Source organism: Homo sapiens, chromosome 8 (assembly GCF_000001405.40).
Source record: "Homo sapiens chromosome 8, GRCh38.p14 Primary Assembly".
Lineage (NCBI taxonomy): Eukaryota > Metazoa > Chordata > Mammalia > Primates > Hominidae > Homo > Homo sapiens.
The window spans coordinates 49,967,440-49,995,129 of NC_000008.11; the positions used below are offsets into that span (position 1 = coordinate 49,967,440).

The 27,690-nt window shown below is 36.4% G+C and overlaps 1 protein-coding gene across 19 annotated transcripts in view; it reads left to right on the plus strand.

The window, feature by feature from the left end:
• Positions 1 to 27,690, plus strand: part of SNTG1 (syntrophin gamma 1) — an 886,897-nt gene that overhangs the window by 57,644 nt on the left and 801,563 nt on the right. Inside the window, exon 4 of one of the 19 annotated variants that reach the window (XM_017013579.2) lies at positions 10,331 to 12,965. The exons of the other annotated variants lie outside the window; for them this stretch is intronic. The gene's annotated coding sequence lies outside the window, so the exon portion shown is untranslated. The remainder of the gene's footprint in view (positions 1 to 10,330; positions 12,966 to 27,690) is intronic. 19 annotated transcript variants of the gene reach the window in all.

Sequence of the window (27,690 nt, forward strand, 5' to 3'; positions counted from 1 at the left end):
GCTTTGGTAGATACATTTGCTCATTGCACATACGTGGTGATGCAAGTTTTTCATCTGATAAAATCTTCACTTTTCATTGATTTTTGTTCTCAATTTTTATTAATTTATTATAATATATAAACTTTGTTTTAATTCGAATTGGTTAATTTGGACAGGAAAAAAAGTTCAGTAAATATAATTTTTAGCCTTTTCTCAACCTGCCTTCACCATAAGAGTGCCAGGTGTCTGAGTTCAACCCTTTCTCTGAAATAGCTTTTTCATTTGTAGTGAGAATTGATAAGTGTTAATTATCACTGAAAGTGAGATTAAAGCAGTGAAAAGTTCCATTAAGAAGAATTAATTACTAGGCTGGCATTTAATGGAAAGGTCTTAAGCAAATAATAAGATGCCATCAGCATCTTATTACATCTCGCTACTGACATTTGTAGTTTAAGATCATGATTATCAAATTAATCTGGCTTTACAGCAGCTTCCTCCCTGTCCCCAGGACTGTGCACTTTTCTACACAGATACAAGAGCGAGGGTATTCTCCTCAGTCTTGGTCCTATCCTTCAGTGTCTTGCAGTACTTCAGAGAATCACCCTATTCATCTTCCAAGTCCAGTTATGCTTACTCTATACCTGGTGAACAGTCTTTGTTTTTTTTTCTGCAAGTAAATACAATGGTCTTTTCACCATATGTCAATATATACCATTGGAAGGAAAGATTTTGGGCAGAGCAGAAGGAAAAATGTATTTTGTTCTTCCAATTTCTTTGTGTCCAAAGCCATTGCCCACATCCTTCATTGAATCTGATGATTTAAAATGTGCCCCCAAAGTCTCCAGTACTTACCAAAACACAATATATTTGCTTATGAAATTTCAGCACCTTCTCTTCCCCCCCAATTATGGTGTATTTTGTCTCATGTAAAGATCATTAAACTTTTTTGACTTTTGATTCTTGTGACTTGAGAATTACCAATAAAGAACACAAGCAAAAATATTTTACCCATTAGGTTGGCACAATGTCTTGACATTGCATTAATTTTTCAGTTCCAAAATTTTCATAAGATCTAAAGTGGAAAGATCCAGATCACTAGATGCAATACTGAAAGGATAAGGGCAAGAACTTGTAATAAAGTTTAAAGTTTCCAGGTTTCTACATGCAAAAGACATCTCCTTATTCAGAGGAAATAATATCAATTTGGGAGGATCAGATGTAGCTTCAGGATGCAGGTTATACCAAAGAGATAGACCCTTATTCTTCCAGATAGACCAAAGCTATAGCTGGAAGAATAATGAAGACTTCTCCATGAAAGAGAGGACCTCCCAGGCAAGCAAGAAGCCATTTATCTCCTGCAATCCAATCATAATTATTTACAGGCGCTGTGTTCCAGAGTTCCAGAAAACCAAAAGGCAGACACATTCCGGATAGAACTGGGGATGACAGATCTTTCCCTTGGACTGATGAGCACTACAGGCAAAGGGCGATACTGAGGCAGAATAATATATTTCAGGCTGCATTTAAAACTCCAGAGACTTGAGTGCCAAGTAAAGGAGTCTGGATAAAGTCTGGAGGAAGGGGACAGAGAGAGAATATTTTTGAGCTTTGGAAATATTAACTGGGAATTAGTGTGTAAAATGAATTGGAGGCAGAATGATAGACAGATTAGGTGACAGCAAAGTAACTAATGGATTGGTGGCTTGTATGTGTGCTGCTTAACTCAAAATCTTCTGCATTGATTATTTTTCTTTTTAATAACGTGGTGAATAATTTTTTAAGAGGCTTGGTTTACTTTTTAAATTTTTTTCTTTTAATTATTTATGAGTCTTTAATAATTCAGAGAGAGGCATTAATGCGAGGAAACCTTGGATTTGCTTCACCACAGGATGCCATAAACTACTTTATGGGAAGTTGTAGAATTTACAAAAATTCTCAAAAGCAAATACACATTTTAATTCATTTAATCTTTTTTTTTTTTTTTTTTTTTTTTTTTGAAATGGACTCTCTCTCTGTCGCCCAGGCAGGAGTGCAATGGTGCAATCTCGGCTCACTGCAACCTCTGCCTCCCATGTTCAAGCAATTCTCCTGCCTCAGCCTCCCAAGTAACTGGGATTACAGGTGCCCACCACCATGCCCAGCTAATTTTGGTATTTTTAGTAGAGACGGGGTTTCACCATGTTGGTCAGGCTGGTGTCAACCTCCTGACCTCAGGTGATCCACCGGCCTCGTTCTCCCAAAGTGCTCAGATTACAGGAGTGAGTCACCATGCCTCGCCATTCACTTAGTTTTTCAAGTTACATCCATTACATATGATCATGTAGGGTGGGGTCAGGTTAAAGAAGAGAGATACCCTCACTGTCAAAACAACAATGACATCATGGTGTATGTTCCAAGTTACAGAATTTGAAAAGTTGCTATTTCTTCTTCACTCTTCCTCAGCCACACTCAAAATGCTGTTATAGATTCATGCTGCTTTTTGATGGTGGAATAAAAAACCTGTGTGTGTGTGTGTGTGTGTGTGTGTGTTTTCAGGCTGGTGTGCTATTGAATCCTTATAAAACAAGACTGTCTCATGTTTTTATTTCTTATTTTACTCAAATTGCCAATACAAATACTTATTAAGGAAACAGTTAGACCAATCTCAGGGTGACTTGAGAATAGGATTGGCGTAAAGAATGCAACTTTTACTCTGGTTGGCCTCTTACTGCTAAAGGGTTTCAGTGATTTGACAACTCCAGTAATATCTCTGTATCTCACCATCTGGCAAAATTTCACAGTGCCTATTTGATGAGTAAGAGGTGCTACGAGATCATCACGAGGAAATTTCAGCACCAACAAACAGCTTCAAGAATTGTTTATGCCCACTGGGTAGTGCTGCAAACAGACACATACACTGAAATATGTTGCTTTGTTTTAGAAACACATGTACTTCCTGTTGTAGTTTTTAATTTTTTCAGTAATGCATGTGTGTTTAGCCGCACTCTTTTTAATTCATTCAACATCTAGCATTTAGTGACCCTGTCTGATGTGAACAGTGCTTCTCTTCCAGGGACTAATGCAGTTGTTTTAGATTATTGTTTCTTCCCTGCAGCTTCCAAAATAATTAATAGCAAATCACTCATTTCATTTAAGAAATAGGTATTTCCTCCCTTGGAATCCAAATTATATTTAGATGTTTTTATTTGTCCTCTATTCCATAAGATCACTGACCACGTAGAGGGTCAGAGAAGGTTATAACTTACGTAGCTCTAATTCGCATGTCTCTAGAGAAGAACATTCTGTCGTCCTAAATTCTGCAGCTAGTGAGACTGGCAAACCACTTATTTTTAATGCTAGAGACTCCTTTCTCCCACCTTGAAGAGTTGGCAGCTCTGGTTAGGGAATGATGCCAGATCTAAGCAAAGCTGACTTAAAGTATGGGTAATCTGGGACACCAGTGGTGCTATGAATGCACACAGGACTCAACTCCCAGCTGGGTTCAGATGAAAAGAGTCTGGCTGATGAATTCTACCACAGGTACAAGGAGGAGCTGGTACCATTCATTCTGAAACTATTCCAATCAATAGAAAAAGAGGGAATCCTCCCTAACTCATTTTATGAGGCCAGCATCATCCTGATACCAAAGCCTGGCAGAGACACAACCAAAAAAGAGAATTTTAGACCAATATCCCTGATGAACATCGATGCAAAAATCCTCAATAAAATACTGGCAAACTGAATCCAGCAGCACATCAAAAAGCTTATTCACCATGATCAAGAGGGCTTCATCCCTGGTTTGCAAGGCTGGTTCAACATATGCCAATCAATAAACAATCCAGCATATAAACAGAACCAAGACAAAAACCACATGATTATCTCAGTAGATGCAGAAAAGGCCTTTGAAAAATTTCAACAACCCTTCATGCTGAAAACTCTCAATAAATTAGGTATTGACGGGACGTATCTCAAAATAATAAGAGCTATCTATGACAAACCCACAGCCAATATCATACTGAATGGGCAAAAACTGGGAGCACTCCCTTTCAAAACTGGCACAAGACAGATGCCCTCCCTCACCACTCCTATTCAACATAGTGTTGGAAGTTCTGGCCAGGGCAAATAGGCAGAAGAAGGAAATAAAGGGTATTCAATTAGGAAAAGAGGAAGTCAAATTGTCCCTGTTTGCGGATGAAATGATTGTATATCTGGAAAACCCCATTGTCTCAGTCCAAAATCTCCTTAAGCTGACAGGCAACTTCAGCAAAGTCTCAGGATACAAAATCAATGTGCAAAAATCACAAGCATTCTTATACACCAATAACAGACAAACAGAGAGCCAAATCATGAGTGAACTCCCATTCACAATTGCTTCAAAGAGAATAAAATACCTAGGAATCCAGCTTACAAGGGAAGTGAAGGACCTCTTCAAGGAGAACTACAAACCACTGCTCAAGGAAATAAAAGAGGATACAAAGAAATGGAAGAACATTCCATGCTCATGGGTAGGAAGAATCAATATCATGAAAATGGCCATTCTGCCCAGGGTAATTTATAGATTCAATGCCATCCCCATCAAGCTACCAATGACTTTCTTCACAGAATTGGAAAAAACTACTTTCAAGTTCATGTGGAACCAAAAAGGAGCCTGCATTGCTAAGTCAATCCTAAGCCAAAAGAACAAAGCTGGAGGCATCATGCTACCTGACTTCAAACTATACTACAAGGCCACAGTAACCAAAACAGCATGGTACTGGTACCAAAACAGAGGTATTGACCAATGTAACAGAACAGAGCCCTCAGAAATAATGCCGCATATCTACAACCACCTGATCTTTGACAAACCTGACAAAAACAAGAAATGAGGAAAGGATTCTCTATTTAATAAATGGTGCTGGGAAAACTGGCTAGCCATATGTAGAAAGCTGAAACTGGATCCCTTCCTTACATCTTATACAAAAATTAATTCAAGATGGATTAAAGACTTCAATGTTAGACCTAAAACCATAAAAACCCTAGAAGAAAACCTAGGCAATACCATTCAGGATATAGGCATGGGCGAGGACTTCATGTCTAAAACATCAAAAGCAATGGCAACAAAAGCCAAAATTGACAAATGGGATCTAATTAAACTAAAGAGCTTCTGCACAGCAAAAGAAACTACCATCAGAGTGAACAGGCAACCTACAGAGTGGAAGAAAATTTTTGCAACCTACTCATCTGACAAAGGGCTAATATCCAGAATCTACAATGAACTCTAACAAATTTACAAGAAAAAAAAACAACCCCATCAACAAGTGGGTGAAGGGTATGAACAGACACTTCTCAAAAGAAGACATCTATGCAGCCAAAATACAGTGAAAAAATGCTCATCATCACTGGCCATCAGAGAAACGCAAATCAGAACCACAATGAGATATCATCTCAGACCAGTTAGAATGGTGATCATTAAAAAGTCAGGAAACAACAGGTGCTGGAGAGGATGTGGAGAAATAGGGACGCTTTTACACTGTTGGTGGGACTGTAAACTAATTCAACCATTGTGGAAGTTGGTGTGGCGATTCCTCAGGGATCTAGAACTAGAAATGCCATTTGACCCAGCCATCCCATTACTGGGTATATACCCAAAGGATTATAAATCATACTGCTATAAAGACACAAGCACACGTATGTTTATTGCGGCACTATTCACAATAGCAAAGACTTGGAACCAAGCCAAATGTCCAACAATGATAGACTGGATTAAGAAAATGTGGCACATATACACCATGGAATACTATGCAGCCATAAAAAAGATGAGTTCATGTCCTTTGTAGGGACATGGATGAAGCTGGAAACCGTCATTCTCAGCAAACTATCACAAGGACAAAAAACCAAACACCGCATGTTCTCACTCATAGGTGGGAATTGAACAATGAGAACACATGGAGACAGGAAGGGGAACATCACACACCAGGGCCTGTTGTGGGGTGGGGGGAAGGGGGAGGGGTAGCATTAGAAGATATACCTAATGTTAAATGACGAGTTAATGGGTGCAGCACACCAACATGGCACATGTATACATATGTAACTAACCTGCACGTTGTGCACATGTACCCTAAAAGTTAAAGCATAATAATAAAAAAAAAAAAAGAAAAGAGTCTGGCTGAGGTCCAGATGAGATGAAATTTACTGCTTCACTTTGGTGAGTCTTGGCTTTCATTAATATGCATCAGTGTATCTTATAGAATTAGAAATATTTGAAGCAAGGAATAAAAATGAAAACACAGTATATACTGAAGAAAAGAGTATTCCTGTTCATTTGGCATAGATCAAATCAGTTGAACTTAAAACTGTAGAATAAAATTACAGATACAGAGGTCAAGAAAGGAATATTTGGAGAAAATAAAAATGAAAACAACAATGATAAATTTGGATACCATTTGATAACATATAGAATTTCATTTCAACAAAACATACTTCTACAATGCTATAGTAACGACATTAAGTTCTGTGTTTTCATTCAAATTAAGTAATAGAAGATTCTTGATGCTAAGAATTCTACCTTCTTAGTGGAAATCATATAAATATTTTACCATAAGCCCCAATTTTTTATGTCGTTAGAATGTTAGGCTGTTTCCTCTTTGAATTCATTAAGAGTATTCATCATTTCAAGTTTTCACTTTTTTATACTAGGAAGTATGCTGTTTTCCAAAGAGAATGAATGTAAGTTACAAAATTTCAAATCATCCAGCTTCCTTATTTTCCTATCTGGAAGCACATGCCACAACTCCATTAGCAAAACATAGTAACGATAGCCCGATAAAATTAATTCCCAAAAATTACCTTAGAGTTTTAATCTTTTCCAAATGGAGGCCAATAAAATACCACAGCCACAATAATATTCCATTGATGAGCGCCAATACCTTCCTAGCCCTCCATGTTGTAGCGGGTGCCTTCATATATTTTATTTGCTTCTTTGGACTTCTCAAATATTCCATGAGATAAAGAGTTAAAGCATGAATAAAACATCTGTTTTCCAGAAAAGGAATCTATATGCCCAAGGGCACATAGTTAACATATGATGAAATCATCTTCAGGTCTTTCACTTCAAGTTCCTTGCTCTTTCAACTATTTCTCAAGATGAATGCAAAAGGGATTATTTTTCTTTTGGTGTCATAAGAGAGCCCTGGCCTGGCCTAGGAATTGGAAGAACATAGTCCTCACGTGCCAGATCAGTGATTTGTATAGGCTGTGTGACTTTGTGGTTCCCTACATCAACTGTAAAATGAAGGCCCTGAACTAGATCATTTTAAGTACTTACAGCTATAAAATCCAACGACTCTATTTAAAATAATGTAAGAAGCTTAAGAAAAATTGCATCTATAATAAGTTTTATTGCTGAAAGTTTCCCAGAATGTATCCTGCAAACTACAGTGCCACATATGTTAATATATATATTATGGCATAAAAGAATCTTGTGGGTAATTGGTTTTGGGAAATGTAGAGTAAAACAAAATTAGGCATAATCCCTTTATGGCAGAACTTCTCTGTGACTAACATTCCAATTGCGGAGTGAAACTAGAGAAAGAACATGGAGAGTGCACAGGTCCAGGCAGGGTCCATGGACACGTCCATGGAAATGATAGTCCAGGAAAGGTTCTCTGAGAAAAGCTGTCATGTCCAAACTGTCAGTGATGGTTCTCAATGGGCGAATCATGGCTCTCTTCCAAATGGACCTAGAGGTGGCTATGGGCTGTGTACTTAAAGACATATTTGGCGGAATAAAATTAAAAGAAATTTCTTAATAAATATAACTGCAAACTAAACTTTTAGACTGCCTTAATTCATAATCACCTCAACTGCCGAGATTATTTAGCAATATTCAAGAGATTTTTTCATTCTTCTTTACCTATAGTAGTGCTGGATAAAAGGATTTCTGGAATTTCTTAGAATTTCATATTAAGAATACCCGATTATCTTTGCCTTAGTATGCTTGTTGATGTTGGTGATATGATACAAAGCTATTCAAGGAAGCTTCCTAAGGTTCATGTTTCGATTAATCGCCACAACATGCACAGCAGCGCTTGCCTTCAAGATCATTGGAGCTGTGCAGGGTTGTCAAATTGACATGCAGTCTCCACAATCTGATAATTTTTTTTTCTTATTACTGTTTTCAGGATGAGAATATGAAGCTGATCTGAATGCTTTTGACATCCATAGGACTTGCAAGATAGCTCTCCAATAACTATAACAGACAGGTTCTCTATACACATAAATCATAGGTAGTCCACAAGAAGGGGACTCTTATTTTCAGTCCGAGGAAAGATTTCTCCTGTTTTAAAACAATATGACTGTGTGCCTGCAAGACTCACAAAACATATATATATATATGTGTGTGTGTGTGTGTGTGTGTAAAGGCTCCATTCTTGATATATAATTTTAACAGTTTTTGTCTTAGAGATAAATTAATGGGATTGAGAATTTGTTAAATTGACTTTTCTTCAACATTTTTTCCTACTTATTTGTTTATTTTCATGTTGGTGGTGAATTACATGAAATTGTCTTTCATTTATTTTTTCAGTGAACAGCTAGTTTTACAAACTACATTTGCTCCCTGAGTTAGTTATTCTTATTTTTATTTCAAAAACTGTGATAGAGAAAGAATTGGAAAGAAGACCTACTGTCATTCTTGGCAACTATTACTAATTTTGAGATGCATGTCTCAATTTACCCCAGAAGCAATATTCATCCAGAGGTACCTTGCAATCAGTGATACATTTAATTAGATCCTATATCTTCTTTGAGAAAAGCAAGGCCTGATGTGAAGGCTCAGTGTGTGTATATTTGTGTGGAAAATGGAAAGAAATAGGAAAATAAGTTTTTTTTGTTTCATAAAGTGATATTTATATGAAATTATATTAGTTAAGTGCCTCAGACACAAACAGAAAGGATTGGATGGCAAGTCATCCACTTATTCTCTGTGTTTTTGCATTTTTGTATTTCTTCTAAAAATGTACATATTGCCTGATTTCTGCCAGGTTGTGGGGCTGAATAAGCAGATAGTTCCCTAGTTTCATGAAACTTTCATTGGAGTGTTTGTGTTTGGGAGGATAGGAGGAACAGGAAATAAGAAACAGAAATAGCCTGTGGAGTGTTCCTGAGTGTTTGGCACAGAATATTTAAATGTCATGCCAAAAGAAAAGTGTCTTAAATTTGTCCAGGGAAGCCTACTCTGAGGAGTGAATTTTAAACTGAGATGTAATTGACAGAGCAAAACCAACCATACCAGGATTAGAAGAGTTAACAGCAGAGCGGAGGCGCCCAGGTAGGAGTGAGCCCACAGGTTAGAGGAAGCAAGAGAAGGGAGCTCTGAGTCCTGATCATGCAGGATACTGTAAAGCCAAGGAGAGAAATTTTGCTTAAATTCTGGGTACAATGGGAAGCCACCACCATATTTTAAGCAAGACTAAATGGCATGCTTTCTTTGATTTTGAAGAGATCATTCTGGCTACTATGTGCAGAAACGAATCATAGAGGAAAGCAGCTCAGAGACTGGAGGTGGGCTTGTCTCAGTGACCATGGGCAGAGGCTGACAATTTGCAGCAGGAAGTGCTTGTGAGAAAAAAATGGATATATTTTAGACTTTGATTCCATGTTTTAATAATGAGGTGTGGGAAGGCACAGTCATTGCAACTCAATTCAAAGAGAAGAGCAACCAGTCTGAGAGGGAAGGTGGGTGGGAAGTGGAGAGCTTAGAGAAGTGTCTGCAAGATGAAGTAAGGATGAATGACAAGTCCTCTCAGCAAGCCAAAGCAGACTCAATAGATAAAAATGGGCATATGACTGCAAAGCATGTTTAACTTCTTGTGCTAGACCCATAAATAATTTAGACTGTTTTTTTTTCAGAAATTAAAAAAACAACAGACAAAGCAATTCAGAAAATGTAGGGACTGTGCTTTTTTTCATTCCCATTTTGAACGCAGTGCTTTGTTTGAAACTAGGAAGGATATGAAAGGTTGTTTTGAGAGTGCTCCATCCCAGAGACCTGTGCAAGGTCACCTCCATCTCTGAAACCCAGCCCAGTGCTCTTACTAGTTAGATCTCATCTTTATATACTGAATTCATTATTTTTATCTTCCAAGATCAGAACATTTTCAAAAGAAAAGTTAAGTAGGAAAACAGAGCAGCAAACAGAAACATCCGAGGGTAAGAGGCTAGGCATGTGGCCTGGGCAAGGATCCCTGAGGGGAAAGATGCTGATGAAGATCCTATTTGTGTTCACTTATCTTTACTCAAAGGAGACAATAAATAAATAAATAAATAAAGACCAGATGCCCTTTTCACCCTATCTTACATTCATTCCTCTTTTCCATTGTCAATCCTGTCATAGGCAGAAGATGGAAAGGCGAAGGCTTCATAGCAAGAGCTGATCAAAGATAAAGTTAGAAGGTCAGAAGACATGCAGACTCTGTAGTGGAGATGTGGCACCACAAACACTGCTTGGGCGTTAGACGGTCTTCAGTTGGCTTCCCAAGAAAGCTGTTTACTAGATTTGTGACCAGGGGGATATCCTTGGAGCCTCAGTTTTCATATCTTCATAAGGGGAAATAATAATAATACAGATGCCTGGAGGATCATTTGTGAATACCTGCAAAATATTTCCCACGGGGCCTGTTGCCAACCCAGCTCACAACGGTCCACTCAACCTAATGGACGTTGGGATGTTGAAATGTAGGTCACTCTTTTCTTCAAAGCCCTTTCTGCCTTTCTACAGTAAAGAGATGCTGGGATATGAAAGAGATTTGAAACAACTAATTCCCCAACTTAGACTAGAATGCACTGAAATAGAGAGAGCGGGGGAGAGAGGGAGAGAGAGAGAGAGAGACAGAAGGAGACAGAAGAAAGGGGGAAGAGGAGAGGAGAGGGAAGAAGAGAACAGGGCTAGAATGGAATGAGTTAGTCAGGAGCTAATTAATGACCAAAGATGAAGAAAAGAAAGCAATGCAAAAAAATGAAAATGCAGCCAAGGCAGAGCACATTGGATAGGACTATACTTAACAGAGAAATGTCTTGCTGTTGTGCAGGCTTCCTCAATCTAAAATAGCATGGGTGGCCTTCATTCATGGCCACGATCACTGAAGTGGCTCTGAAGTGTCTTTGTACCTGTAAAAATGGGCTTGTTTTGATTTTTTGAACATACAATTAAAATTGTTGTCTTTATTGTAAAGGCCCATGTTTCATTTAATAGTCTACCAGAAGTATGAGGACATCACTTAAAAACACTTAAATTAGAATGAAATAGTAATACAAATAAAAATAAGAAAAACAGCCATTTTATTGAGAGTTTAGCTGAGTTGGGCAGTTACTTGTTTCCCTCATTATCTAATGTTGAATTCCAGGTAGCAGGTTCTATATTTCTGTTCATTTTAGAAATGAGGAAATGGATGTTTAAGAAGTTGAGTAACATCCGAAATATCCTCCAATTATTAGCTGACTTCGGGATTCAGTCCTGGGTCTGCCTGACCCTAGACGTCAGTGTCACTAACCACTATGTTAGGAAGAAAATATAGGAGATATGGATGAATAAAGGTAATCTTCTTCCACACTTGGGTAAAATCACAAGCTTGGGAGAATTGACACCATAATGTAGGAATTCTTCCTTGGACAAGCTGAAAATCATTCTATTTCGGTACATTAAAAGCCTTCACGCTGTTAAGATTTTGGAGAAGAATGAGCGAATTTGGTAGTGTAACTAGCAGGCGGGGAAGGACTGTCCCTTATGGCTTAGCAATGAGCAGCAGGGCAGTTCACAATGGCGAGACGCAGACGCCTTTGGGGCGGTGCAGCCAGAGCGGAGTGCGCCTGGGACTGAGTGTCCTCCTCGGGGACTGCATGGGCCCCGCACCGCCGCCTGCCCCGCGCCACGACAGCCCAGAGCACGGATGGGCCCAGACTGTCCTACAGCCGTTTCAGCAGGCGAGGGTCTGTCCAGCAGCACCTAAACAGCTTTTGTATGTCCTGTCTCCAAAGTGTGTGGCTTTAAGTCAGGTTCTGTGCTTTTGATGACAATATTTTCTTTGGGTCGGGATCATTTTCATCTGTTGCCCCTTCTGCCCAACCTTTGCACTTCCCCCCGATCCTCCTCACCCCTTCCCTTCCTCTGCCTGTCTGCACACCAACGTCCTTGGGCTCCCTCATTCTCCAGTTCTTGGCTTGGTCTGACTGGGGACTTCTCACACCTAGCTTGTCGTCGCGCTCTAGGGCCATTGCATCTTGGTTAAAAGGCCTGTCTCTGCAGACTGAAGGCTCTCTGCGGGCAGGACCAGGCCAGTTTGGCTTCTCCCTGCCCGCCCTCGGAGCCTGCTCCAGGTATACTGGCTGAATGTTCTGAGAGACCCGCAGCCCAGGATTGCTGAGTCGCTTGTGTGTCCGCTGTTTACAGCTGTGCGTGCGTGTGTGTGCAGGGAAACAGCCAGGCAGATGCACATGGTTATTTATATCTTCAGATTATTTCTGTGAGGAAAATTCTATCCTGGTGAAAGAGCTTGCTGTTGAAAAACAGTAACTGTACCCATATAGACACCACAGTATTCGCTCAATGTATTTGACAGACACACTCATATTGTCAGGGTAAAAGGAGGCAGCAGCTTCTTTGAAATGCAGGGACAGAGCAAGTGACAAGGAAAAAACCACACAGCAGGTATGTCCACATTGTTGTGCAACCAATCTCCAGAGCTCTTTGATCTTGCAAAACTGAGACAGCGTACCTATTACACATCAAACTCCTCGTTCCCAGTTCTCCTCCAGCGCCTGGCAGCCACTATTCTACTTTCTTTCTCTATGAATTACATTACTCTGGATATCTCTTCCAATTTTTATTATAGCCTGCTTGACGTTGTAAAGAAATCAAATGTTTGGCCCAGTAGCCATTCTCCTCTCTGCTTGCTCCATCACGCTGAAAATCAACTGGTAGCTTCAGCTGTAGCAGACGGAGCCCTGAGCTCTCCTGACTTGTACATGCGCTTGTAAGTACACAAAATGCCCTGCTCCCTAGTTTCTGCCTGCACGAGTTCCTCCATATCCCTGCCCCAGGGCTTCCTGCTTTACTTTCTCCTCACATCCCTTCCTGTAGACTCCTTCGCAAAAAAAAAAAAAAAAAAAAAAAAAAAAAATTATGTTTGCCTCATGAGCTCCCAGGGCACAGCTTTGCTGCCTCTCAGCTGCCCAGCCGACTCCACTCGCAAGAACAGTGTGTTCCTGAATTTTTTTAATAAAATAAAATAAATTGTACTTTTATATTATACATTATAATTGAGTGTGGTAGAAATAAAATTTAATTTCAGGTACTTTTGATAATGTGGCTCTGGGGTTTTTACTGAAAAAGTAAAAATTCAATAAAAAGTATTCTTTAGGGAAATGTGTTTTTAAGCCTTTTAGACACTTAAAGCTAACTTTTATTAGGGGTTCATTCACAGACTGTACACTTTTATGATTTCTATTCATATTTTTCTCACTTTTGCTTAAAAAAATCTTTTCTTAGAGAAGAACTGTTTTTCCAATAAAAATGGAATGAATTCCCATACATTAGTCTCTTCTCTGTAAGTGCCCTTCTGAGCCCCATGCACACAGAAGAGAGTGAAGACCAGTGAAGCTCTTTAGGGAGCTAAATAATAGATGCAGATGAGTGTCTAACATCTATACAGACTAGGTTCCTGATAAACATTGAATTGAATCTCCTGGCAGGCCAGGGTATTAATCTGGGGAGAAGGAAAGCCATGTGAGTTAAAAGGGGAAGTATCACAGAACAGAAGCAAACAATAGTACCTGAAGTAACCTTAGCAATAATAGCCTAATAGCAAATGAAGAAAAGGAGAGACGGGAAAAAATAAACTGGCACCAGAGACCCCTGGGAAAGACTCATAATCAGAGGTACCAATAAAGGCAAATGTAAATACAGAGCCTCAGTCTTCTAAGGCCTCAGGCTCAGAAATTTTACCCATGGTTGCTAGACCATGGAAGTCACTGTTTCCTTTATCTTGGAGGCAGGCTAGACTGAAATGATAAAGAAAGAATCTGGACTCTGACATTTAGATTTACAGTAGTGCACTATTGTTTGTAAGGGCATTATTGATTAGAGTAGGGCAAAAAGATGGGCCAACATAATTTGTTTTAGTCTATCCTGTATTATGGTTACTTGTTTGTCTGCCACCAACTATGAAATGTGACTTTAGGAAAGCAAATATGGCTATCATTACATCTTGTTATAATAAATGAATAAAAGTGAATCATTTTATCATTTTCAGGTGGTCAATAATTGTTGAAATACTATAATCTTTTATGCATTTTTTAATTTTTATGAAATATTTTCCTGTTCCTCCCCAAAGGCATATAAAATATTTTGCTTTCAATTAAAAAATTAAAAATATTACAAACAAAACAATCCTTGCCCTCTTTGGGCTTTCAGAGTATGTAGACTTTCTAAAAAGTCTTTGTAGTGAAATAAAAAATATTTTAAAAGTTAAATGATGTCTTTAGAATATCTTAATTTTATTTTTTGTTGTTGTGGGTGTGAATATTATTAATTTTTTACCGCAGGTCCTTCTTAAAAAAATAACTAATAGATAATAAAATCTATGGAGAAAACAATAGCTTTAAAAATAAAAGTCTTTGAAAAAAATGAGCATGGTTTTCAAATTGACTTGATCCAATCAAACTCTTATGTCTCCTTTAAGTTAAAGATGCTTTCCTAGTTCCACATGAAATCACTTATAAAAAGAAAAAGTACATCTATGCCCTGGAGAATTACTCAGTGAGTATGTCAGATCCTTCAGTTATAATATGTATGGGCACATAAAAATTTATAAGTCTCAGTGGTATGCAACTGCTCAGGTAGTTGGCATCTGAATCCTTCATTTTGAGAGCTCAAAATATTTTGTGAGTTCAGGTGACTTTGACTTCTTCAGTAAATGTTTTTGGCATTTTGGGCCCATCTGCTCCTTGGTAGACACAGTTCTAAACTCTGGAAATACAAAAGAATTCTGATAGCTAATTTTGAATCTTTTCTAATTTTGAATCCATAACTATATATATTCATTATATATAGTGCAAAATATCACATATATGTATACATGTATACATACATAATGTGTGTGAGTTTATAAATATGAAATTCATCAGGTGCTGTGGCTCGTGTTTGTAATCCCAGCTACTCAGGAGGCTGAAGCAAAAAAAAAAAAAAAAGTTTGAGCCCAAAACAGTGTGTGTGTGTGTGTGTGTGTGTAATTATATTTACTTGACCAAGGACCAAGGATGCTACCTTAACTTGCATTTATCTTTACAAAAAAATAGATGGCTTAACCTAGTATAGTTTAGATCATTCCTAGTTTTATTTTTAGAAAACTAATCAAGTGGATATTTGTCTATTAACACTTATGTCCATGTTTCCTACAATACTCATAGAAGATGTCAGAATACTTCAGAATTAGTATTAAATTGTGAGAGATGGGAACTACAGTAAAATTGATGTAATCCAATTCAATTGAGTTGTAAAGTTATTGATTTTTAAAAAGCATTAAACATTATGCACTGTGTATACTTTTAATACAGTTTTTCAAAGGCTACAGTGCTTGTCTAAAGTTATACCAATGAACCTTTATAAATGCAGTTTCCTCTCATCCCTACCCAAAGGATGCTTCAGGAAGAGGGGGATTTATACCACAGTCATTTCATGGACCGTAAAACCTCAAGTGTTATGCCATAGTTATGCAATCATTTTGATGCTTGACAACTTGTCTTTGTTACATAATTATATTATTTGAAACTCAGCTATAACTGAAAAAGGAAAAACATTAACATAGGAACTTTCTGATTAATCATTGTAAACAGCGAGTTGTCTATTCATCAAGTAAAAGTTTAGAGAATTTGAAGCAAAAATAAAATATTTGCACATTTTTCAAAATTCAGGTAACATCTTTATAAAATTGTGCATTTAATGTGCTTTATGTGTATATATCATTTATACTGCATTCAATAAGAATATCAAATTCAGTCTTTAAACATAAATAATGTGAATTTTATATATTTAAATAATCCTTTTGTTTTTTGGATTTCTAAATACAAATAATCTCGTTTGCTTTTTATTATTGAGAAATTTATGAGATCACAGCTTACATAACCAAATGAGATAATATGTATAAGAGCACTGAGTGTGGTGCCTAAACACCCAATAATTCACTGCTCTTGCCCTGGATAGCCCTGACTTACCAGCTGAAGGCCAACATGGGTCCTTGTCAGTCACAGCAACCAACAGAGGCCCCCAGAGAGGGCTGGGATGGTGCTGTCTACTTCACTGCCCTGATGCTTTTAAAAGGTTTGCAGAACAGTGGTATAGAATAATCACAGTTATTGAATTCTTGTCTTGCCCCCGTTTAAAGTAAGAAGATAATGTTGCTCTACTGAAAATTTGAAACTACGTTTCATTTTATTCATGAGAAAATTCATTCCCAGTGAGATGAATGGGGGGTACTGTTATCCTGTGGCCTTGGTAGGATTTAACTTTCATGGATGTGCCAGTTCAGTTTATTACTCTGAGGCACAATTCTGCCTTGTTCTCTTCTATAGCCACTGTATTTCTTACTATCCATTATACTAGTTTTCTTTTGTGACATTTTATCTTTCAAATATTAGATTAAAAATCCTGTTTGGAATGAAGCTCAAACATTTGGCATTATAGTTCATGTTGTGAGAATTTCTTGTTTTTACTATTTCTAAACAATATATTTCTCTTGGATTGGATAGGGTCAAATATAATTTTTTTATTTTTATTTATTTATTTTTTTTTGGTGAGACAGAGATTTACTCTTGTTGCCCAGGCTGGAGTGCAATGACATGATCTCGGCTCACTGCATCTTCCGCCTCCCAGATTCAAGCGATTCTCCTGCCTCAGTCTCCCGAGTAGCTGGGATTACAGGCATGTGTTACCACTCCCGGATAATTTTGTATTTTTAGTAGAGACGGGGTTTCACCATGTTGCCCAGGCTGATCTCAAACTCCTGACCTCAGGTAATCCGCCCACCTCGGCCTCCCAAAGTGCTGGGATTATAGGCGTGAGCCACTGCGCCCAGCCTAGATAGGGTCAAATATAAATTATTTCCAGTATCAAATGAATGACTTGAGATATAAAATTTTCCTTAATGTTTTACACCTAAATGTATAACTTATATGGTTCAATTACTTGTATTGTTTGTTGTAAAATCTTATTTAAAAAATAAATGTTGTTTTTAAATTTTATTTAAAAAATAAGATCACTACATTTCATGCAAAGTAAGTTGAAGAATCGATACTTTATAGTAGGAAGAGAATCAGCATGCTAAGTACAGCATGCTAAGTATAGTTTAAGGAATTCTTACATGGCTGATTTCATTAAAAGGTTGCCCATTCCCCAATAATAGCATTAAAAATGTTTGGCTGGAGGTGTGTCATGGAAAGTAAGTTGTCTCGGTAATCTTAAAATTGTAAGCATCTGTATCATAAAGCAATCTGTTCTTCTGTTGGAGTATGTTTTTTTTACCTCTGCCTTACCAATTTCCAGAAGGAAAATTGTCTGAAAGTTGTTTTTGGTTGAATTCTAATTAATCAGCTTTCCCTCTGGTGGCCAGGATTAGATTCCTAAGGTACTAAAATGTCATAATAATGAATTGAGAATGAAAGTTTCAGAGGCACAAAGTGATGGTTGAAATATACTGAACATGTTTTAAAAGTGGAAGCAGCCACAATGTTTTTTTGTTTGTTTGTTTAATTTTTATTGTTTTGAGACAGGGTCTCACTCTGTCGCCCAGGCTGGAGTGTAGTGGCACGATCTCCACTCACTGCCACCTCTGCCTCCTGAGTAGCTGGGACTACAGGTGCGCATCGCCATGCCTGGCTATTTTTAAGAGAGATGGAGTTTCACCGTGTTGGCTAGGCTGGTCCCAAACTCCTGACCTAAAATGATCTGCCCGTCTCGGCTTCCTAAGTGCTGGGATTACAGGCATGAGCCACCGCACCGAGCCTACAATGTTTTAAATCTATTAAAATCAATATTGAAATCACATTTCTTATTATCTCTGGAGAGGATATTAACAATATTAAGTTGTGATACCATTTTGTTAATATAGATTAGGCTTTTAGTTATAGATGACAATAGAAATTTTTTTATCATTACAATATGAGGGGTTAATGACTAAAAATAGTTCATATAAATTATATTACATAAAATAAATACAGTTAAATAAGGCGCATAAACAATGGCAATGCAAGTTTTGATAATCAAATTCACTACTGCAAATAACTCAGCAGAAGGGATGGTTTTCTTCAGTTATTTGGTGGCATATTCTCTCATGATAGGTAATACCAAATTCATGTGATTGTTTTTTAAACTTTGATTATATTTATAGACACCTGTTTGGCATTCATTCCATGATGATAATGATAATGATCTCTATTTGACTTAGTAAATCTGATATGACCTTTATATTTTATAAGTACATATTTTTCATGTATCAAAGGTTTCATAGAAGTCTACTTATTAAAAATCCAAATAATTTCTTTTTATAACAAAGACCTAGTGAGATAGGCTTTATAGAAAAGTGTTAGAGTTCTACAAATAAAAGAATTAGGTTCATTTGAATTTATTGAAGTGAACAATATTTTAGTATTAGTTCTATTATAAAACATCCTAAAAACTTTCAAAGCAAAAGTTGTGCTGATCAGACCTATCGAGGTAAGTTTCTGGCATTAGGGTAATGTATAAAATAAAAAAGGGGAAAAATATGCCCAGATCAACAGAAAAACTGCAATAATCTGAATTTCTTGTGCCAAGCAGAACTGTATATATTTTACTTCCACTTTCCTGATAAAGGATCTAATTGGGTCACTGTTCTTCAGATAATGAAGAGTGTTCTACAGTGTGGGTGGAGCACTCATTATGACCCCCTCTCATATGACTGGCCTGAATTGGAGTAAGATTCTAATTATCGATTAAGTCAATTGTGGTTAAGCTGGAGGTATCACACCAGGCAAATCATTGGGATTGTGCAATATTAATGACTTTTCCAATTTCTTGTGTTGCCAATTTTATCAGAATATGTGTACATGATACTCAGTATAGCCCAGATTAAATAATAAACATCTGAGTGGCCATGCCTGTAATCCCAGCACTTTTGGAGTGGTTCATGCCTGTAATGTGGTTCATGCCTGTAATCCCAGCACTTTTGGAGGCCAAGGAGGGCAGATTGCTTGAGCTCAGGAGTTGGAGACCAGCCTGGGAAACACCATAAGACCTCATCTCTACAAAAAGTACAAAAAAAAAAAAAATAGCCAGGTGTTGTGGTGCATGCCTGTAGTCCCAGCTGCTCGGGAGGCAGAGGTGGGAGGGTCACATGAACCCAGGAAGTCAAGGCCATGATCGTGCCACTGCACTCCACTTGGGCGTCAGAGTGAGCCACGGTCTCAAAATAGATAAACAAATAAATAAATAAATATGTAAATATAAATAAATATCTGGGTATGGAGAAGAAAAGTCTTCTGTAATAGATGCTGAGATTAAAATGCAAGAGTATCCCAAAATTCCTAGCTAGAATGAGCAATTCCATTTGCCCTTAGCTTATGTTGGGAAATGAAAAGTAGGTTATGTTTGGAAAAGTATGACAAATTACATTTTGGAAATTCTGAGTTTGAATAACATGTTGGTTTCCATGAGGAGATACTTCCAATTAAGTTGAAGTGTCATACTGGACCCCAGGAGGGGGGAGTCATATCTAAGCAGATGGTGAATATGTAGTGAAAACAATATATATAAGAGTGTCAAATACAAAATCATAGGATGCCTGAAAAATTAAGAGTATAAATAAAACATACAAGAATAAGAATGAGTTAGAAGAATAATTTCCAGAATGGCAATGTGAAACAACCATAAAAATTAAAATTATAAAACAAAAGTAAATAAACAATTATTTAAAGTCTCTGGAAATTATCTCAAAGGCATACTGCAGGATAAGATACACCTAAAAAGAGTCTTCTTGGGGTCACAACAACCTCAAAATCTGTTTCCAAAATCTATTCTTGAAATAGGGCCCAAATTTAATTGGATCAGACAGTGGAACAATTTATGCCCAGAGCATTTTTGAATATAGTTGTGAAATTATCCTGAAATTAGTGGACGCTAACAGCCTGCTATAATATTAGGTCGGTGCAAAAGTAATTGTGGATTTTTTCCTTTAATTAAATTAACCTTTTTTTTTTTTTTTTTGAAACGGAGTCTGGCACTGCCACCCAGGCTGGAGTGTGGTGGCGTGATCTCGGCTTACTGCAACCTCTGCCTCCCGGGTTCAAGCCATTCTCCTGCCCCAGCCTCCTGGGTAGCTGGGACTACAGGCGCCCGCCACCATGCCCAGCTAATTTTTTGTAATTTCGGTAGAGCCGGGGTTTCACCGTGTTAGCCAGGATGGTCAAAATCTCCTGACCTCGCGATCTGCCCACCTCAGCCTCCCAAAGTTAAATTAACCTTTTATTAAAGGTTATGCCACTACCTTTAATGGCAAAAACTGCAATTACCTTTGCACGAACCTAATATTAGCAATGAAGGAAAGAAAGAGTCAAAAGAGTTCTATTAAAACCATTGATAACCCAGGGTGACTGTACACAGGCTCAAGGCTGTGACTTGTGAGGAGTGACACCAGAGACTGTACATGGCAGGAAAAGAGACTCCAGAGAAATAATCTAACCAAGTAGCTAGAGAAACAGACACAAAACAACAAAATGCCTTGGGATAAAGGGGATAAAAATGGGCGTGCAGAGTTGTTACAATATATTATCTAAAATGTTCAATTTTCAACAAAAAAATTAGGACACAAAAACAAACAGAAACTGTGTCCCATACATATGAAATAAACCAAGTTACAGTAACTTCTAGATGCCAGATTTAGCAGAAGACTTCAAAGCAGCTATTATCAATATGTTAGAAGAATTAGTGCAAATGATACACAGAGTAAAGAAGTGTAGGATGACAATGTCTCATCAGGTAGGCAATATAGGTAAATAGAGAAAATTATTTTGAAAAGAATCAAATGAAAATTTTGGAGTTAAAAAGCACAATCAATAATTGAAATGAAAAATACACTACATGAATTCATCAGTAGGTTTGAGCTGGCAGAATAAATAATCAGAAAATTTGAATGTATGTTGCTAGAGATTATGCAATCTGAAGAACAGAGAAAAAGAAACAAAGAAAATTTAATAGAACTTTAGAGAATAACCAATGTATGAATAATGAGAATGCTTTGCACAAAATACTTTGATATAAGTGAAAATGAAGTCACAACACACAAAAGCTTATTAATGCATAGAACTTAAGCACTACATAGAGATAAATTTATAGATTATATGCCTATATTTAAAGAACATTTCAAATGAGTAACCTAGTCTTTTTCATTAAAAAATGAAAAAGCAGCAAAATAAACAGAAAAAAGGAATAAAAAAGATGAGAGAAAAAATATAGTAACAGTAATTTACTGTATATTTAAATACAACTGAAAGAGTTATTGGAATGTTTCTAACACAAAAATGTCATAAATTCTTGAGGTGATGCATACAATTACCCTAATTTGATCATTATAGAGAGCATGCCTATGTGAAAACATCACCTGTACCCTATAAATATATATAACTATTATGTATCCAGAGTCACTAAAAATAAATTTTAAAAAATGTAAAGTAGAAGATATAGAAAATTGGGGAAACCAAAAGTTGGTTCTCTGAAATCATTTTCTAAAATCGACAAACTTTTAGCTGGAATGACCATTTAAAAGAGTGAAGATTCAAATTACTAAAATCAAGAATGAAAGAAAGATCTTAATAATGACCTTACAAAATTAAAGAGAATGATAAATTAGTACCCTGGAAAACTGTATACAAATAAATTCAATAACTTAAATGCAACGAATTAACTCTTAAAAATGATATAAACTATAGAAATTGACTCAAAAAACAGAAAATCTGAATAGATATATAAGCAGTTAACAGATTGAATTATTATTTTGAAAACTTCCAACAAATTAAAGTCCAGGTTTTACTATACCTTTCCCTTCTGGTGAATTTTACCAAACATGCAATAAATAGTCAATATAATTTTTAGCAAAATCTTTCTAAAAACATGGTAAGATGAAACACTTCCCAACTTACATTATGAGGCGAGTGTTACCCTAATGCCAAAAACCAGGCAAAAACATTAAAAGAAAACTACATCCCCCTGTCTCTAGAAATATAGACACAAAACTCCTTGGTTAAATACTAATGAATCTAAATCAGCAACCTATTAAAAGGAATATGCATCATGAACATGTTTGATTTATCTCATGAATACAAGGTAGTTTTAACATCTAAAAACCAAACAATGTAATATATTGATACAGTAATAAAGAAAATCTGTGTAATTATAGTAATATGGAAGTAATATAAAAGAAAAGCATATCACAAAAGTCAATATCCTTTCATGGTAGAAACACTAAATAAATTAAAAACAAAAGTAAACTTTCTCAATTTGATAAAAAGTATCCATGAAAAACCTATAGCTAACATAACTTATTGTGTAAAACAGAGTATCTTTCCTGTAAGATCAAGAACAAAACAAGGATCTGTGCTCTTGCCACTTCTATGCAACATTATTAGAAGTTCTAGCAAGGGTAATTAAGGGGAAGAAAAAAGAAATGAAAGAAAGAAATACAACTGTCTCTATTTAGAAATCATATGATCTTGTACATAGAAAATCATAAATTCACCAACATTTATTAAAACTTATAAATGAATTCAGTAAATTATATTTCTATATACTATAATGAACAATCTGAAAATGGAACTAAGAAAAACAATTACAACACCAACAAAAGGAATGTAAGACTGAAACTGTAAATAATTGGATGGCAACACGTCCCATATTGATCAAAAGATTTTATACAATCTTTATTAGATTCTAGCTTGGTTACTTATACAATTTTGCAGAAATTGACAATGTGATTTGAACATTCATATGAAATGCAATGGATCCAGAATAACCAAAAAAATCCCCTAAAAGAACAATGTTAGAGGCCTCACAATTTCTTACTTCTTGTATATATGTATTACAAAACTACATAAAATACATAATGTATTACAAAACTACAAAAATCAAAATGGTGTAATATTGGCGTAATGATAGACATAGAGGTTAATGGAATAGACTTGAGATTCCATAAATAAACACCTATATTTATGGTAAATCTATTTTCAATTTGTGCACAGGCATTTTAATGGAGAAAGAAGTGTCTTGTAAATAAGCAGTGCCAAGACACATGTAACATGATTAAGTTTGACTCCTTCCCCACATAACAAACATAACTCAAAATGGATCATAAGCATAAATAAGGCCTAAAACTACAAATATTATTCTTAGAAGAAAACATAGAAGGAAGTCTTCATGATGGTGTGTTATGGGAAGACTTCTTAGATATGGCCAATAAGCTTGAGTAGCAATAGAAAAAATGGACAAATTGAACTTATCAAAATAAAAATCTTGTATTCTTCAAAAGACACCATTAAGAGAATCAAAGGGCAGCCTAGAAAACTGGAAAAAGTGTTGGCAAATTATGTATCTGATGATAGACTTGTATACAGAATACATGAAGAGCTTTTACAACTCAATAATAAAAAGACAATAATTTAACTTAAAATGGACAAAGAGTCTGAACAGGCTCTCCTCCACAGGAGGTATGCAAATCAACAATAAACACATGAAAAAGATGATCAACATCTTTTTACCTGCCAGTTGCAAATCAAAACCACACAATTAAATGGCATTTCATATACACTAGGATGCCTGTGATCAAAAAGAAAGGTAATAGAAAGTGTTGATGGGGATATGAAAAAATTGGAGCCCCGATGCAAGGCTGGTGGGATTGTAAAATGGTGCAGCCATCTGTGAAAACACTCTGGCCGTTCATTAAAGTGTTAAACTGTGACCACACAACCTAGGAATTCTACTCCTAGGGTTATACCCAAGAGAAATGATAACATAACATTTATCCACACAAAAACGTGTACAATATTATTCATAATAGCCAGAGGGTGAAAATAACCTAAATATCCATCAACTGATAAAGAGATAAACAAAATATGGTACATCTCTATAATGGAAGAATATTTGAGAATAAGAATAAGAAATAAGAATAAGAAAAAGAAAGAAGAAAGTAATGATACATGCTGTATAACTGAGATGAGCTTTGAAAACATTACGCTATTGAAATAATCCAGTTACAAAAGAGCACATATGTTGTGATTCCATTTATATATAATGTCCAGAATAGGCAAATCCATAGAGACAGAAAATAGGTTCGTGGTTGCCAGCATATGGGGTAGAGAAGAATGGGGTGTGAATGCTTGTGAGTACTTCTCTTTGGTATGGTGGCATGTTCTAAAATTAGATAGCTGTGATGTTTGCACAACTGTATAAATACTACAAACCAATGAATTATGGCATTTAAATTGGTGAATATTAGGGTGTATAAATTCTATCCCATTAAAGCTGTTAAAAAATAATGTCTGAAAGGAGAATTCTTAATGATTTCTCCTCCTGAGCTATCATTATACTGTACTGTTTCCACGCCTCCCTTACAACATGTCTTCCTTTGCGGGAACAGAACTGGAACACACTGGAAACTTATACATATCTGACCCATATTTTTGGAGCTATGTAACATAGATTTGTAAATAGAAAGAGACTTTCCAAATTACATTATTGTATTGTAATAGTTTTCAGAATAAGAATGTAAGAAGATAAAAAATATTCAGAAATGGTACCACGTTGTATAATAGGTCAAGGTGTGTGGGAGAAAAAAGTAAGAGAGTTGTGAATAAGCAAGTTCTACAGGGACTAACTGTACCTCCATTTGTAGCAGGTCCACCACCGGGCACTAACTTGGCAATTTTGCATATTAAGAGTCCATTTTACATATTAGGATTTGATATATTTCTTAAATTTGGGGAAAATTTTTTATTTCAAATGTACAGAAATTTGCACACTTGATTTGAAGCAAGTTAACTTTTCTATTATTAGAGACACTTCATAGTTAACTAAACCTTGGTGGGTATAAGCCTTAAGTGCATACAGGGAGCCTCAGCAACCTTGTTACCTGGAAACAAACTCCCACACATCTGCATTGACAAATGGGTGGTGTTGGAAGAAACTTAAATTGCCTTTCATGATAGTGCCTACCATCAGCAGAAAGGGGGAATTCTAAGCAGCATGCTTGTCCTGATTAAATGCTTTGCCATCGCTGTATGGGTGGAAGTGGGTTTTATTTAGTAATGGACCTCTTGAGAACAATTATGTTTTATGTATTGCTTTAAGTATTAATTTATAAAAATAGTTCAAAATATAATGCTGAAAGCTTATTCTTAGTAAAGTGCTCACACATACTAAAATCACCTTTATTAGAATAACACTAGTGATAATTATATTTTGATTTTGCATTTGTTCACTTTCTTGGCTAGAGATTAAATACATATAGATAGAGGAAGTTGAAAGCAAAGTATTATTTCTGCAGAAATGTGTAATTAATAAATACCATTTACATGTTTTAAATCTTTTTTTTGTGGAAAAAACACTAGTCATTGCATGCATGCTTATATGTATACTTAAAATTATCATATCTTTAAGAAGTTCAAGGAGAATGATACATAAGGGTTTTATTCACCCAAAAGGTGGGAATAAGACTTTTCTCTGGGCTTATTTTTCCCACCACATGCATGGGAGTACTGGCAGGTGCAAAGCCCAGAGTGAGGTCAGGGCCAAAGCGGGAGGGGGGCACTTTACAAGGTTCTCTAAGTATGATTCTTTGACACTCACTCTATTTATTTCTTTATTTTCAGTAATAGCTTTTATTTAAAAATTTTTCTTCCTCTGTTGTAAATTTTTCTGAGGTTTTTTTTTTGTCGTCGTTGTTGTTTTATTTTCATTTTACTCTAAGTTCTGGGATACATGTGCAGAAAGTGCAGGTTTGTTACGTAGGTATACATGTGCCATGGTGGTTTGCTGCACCTATCAACCCATCATCTAGGTTTTAAACCTCACACACATTAGGTATTTGTACTAATGCTCTCCTCTCCTTCCCTCCCACACCCCGAAAGGCCAAGTGTGTGTGATATTCCCCTCCCTGTGTCCATGTGTTCTCATTTTTCAACTCCCACTTATGAGTGAGAACATATAGTGTTTGGTTTTCTGTTCCTGTGTTAGTATGCCAAGAATGATGGCTTCCAGCTTCATCCATGTCCTTGCAAAAGACATGAACTCATTCTTTTTTATGGCTGCATAATATTCCATGTGTATATGTGCCACATTTTCTTTATGCAGTCTATCATTGATGGGATTTTGGGTTGGTCCCAAGTCTTTGTTATTGTGTTCTCTGGGATTTATGTTGAAGAGTGGTGTTGATTATTGAACGAATGAAACATTAGAACCATTATATTCCTGTTGAAAATACCTTTGAATTCTTAAGCATGTAAACATATGGGGAAAGTTCTCTTCCTCTCAAATCCTTTCTACCCTCTACCTTTAACCTTCTAGTCCCTCAGGATATCCATTATATAGTCTGTAGTTTATTGAATTTTACTACAAGCCTTTTCAGTGTTTTTAAATTGTGATGGGTGTATATGTGTACATACAAGTATATGGATATACCTATAAAACTTATTTCCTGTAGTATAATATGCTTCGTCTTAGTATAATTGAGACATGAAAAAATAAATTCTTCTTTCCTATTATCCACATGATATTGGGTATAATATTCAAGATTATTATTTTTATTCTTCTTTTTTTTTTTTTTTTTGAGATGGAGTCTCACTCTGTCACCCAGGCTAGAGTGCAATGGCCCAATCTCGGCTCACTGCAACCTCTGCCTCTTGGATTCAAGTGATTCTCCAGTCTCAGCTTCCATAGTAGCTGGGGTTACAGGCACCCGCCACCATGCCCGGCTATTTTTTTTTTTTTTTGTATTTTTAGTAGAGACGGGGTTTCACCATGTTGGCCAGGCTGGTCTCAAACTCTTGACCTCAGGTGATCCACCTGCCTTGGCCTCCCAAAGTGTTGGGATTACAGGAGTGAGCCACCGTGCCTGGCCAAGATCATTATTCTTATAATGGAACTTTATAAAGAGCTATGTGCTGAATTGTAGTAACCCAAGAAATACGGATTCATGGCTAAAAAAAACTGTTAAATATTATGTAATATAATCTCCTCACTTTGACTATAGCTACTCATTTTTTTTTTCTCTGAACCTAAGAAACATCCTCATATAATGAGATGAAAGATGACAATGTTTTATGGAGGAAAAGTCAGGAACTTAGTAAGACACTGAATGGGCTAAAGGGTACCTCAAAGGTAGAGAATTAAAGATAATGGCTACTTTTTCATTTCATTTAGAATCATCCCAGATCTTAAAATGTAGTAAAGGACACTTTATTATTTCAATGCCCTCATGGGTCTTATAATTAACAGAATGTAAGTGCTAGGAAAAAGGTGTAGTAATTGCATAGCCAAATCACCTCATAATTTAAATAAGAATGTTGAGTCCAATGGTAAGATGATGTGAACTTGGCCTTTTCTTTTAACATGTGAGAATCGAGAGATTGTGAAAGACTAATGGAAATGAAGATAATAATGAAATAAGAGAAGAAGAAATAATC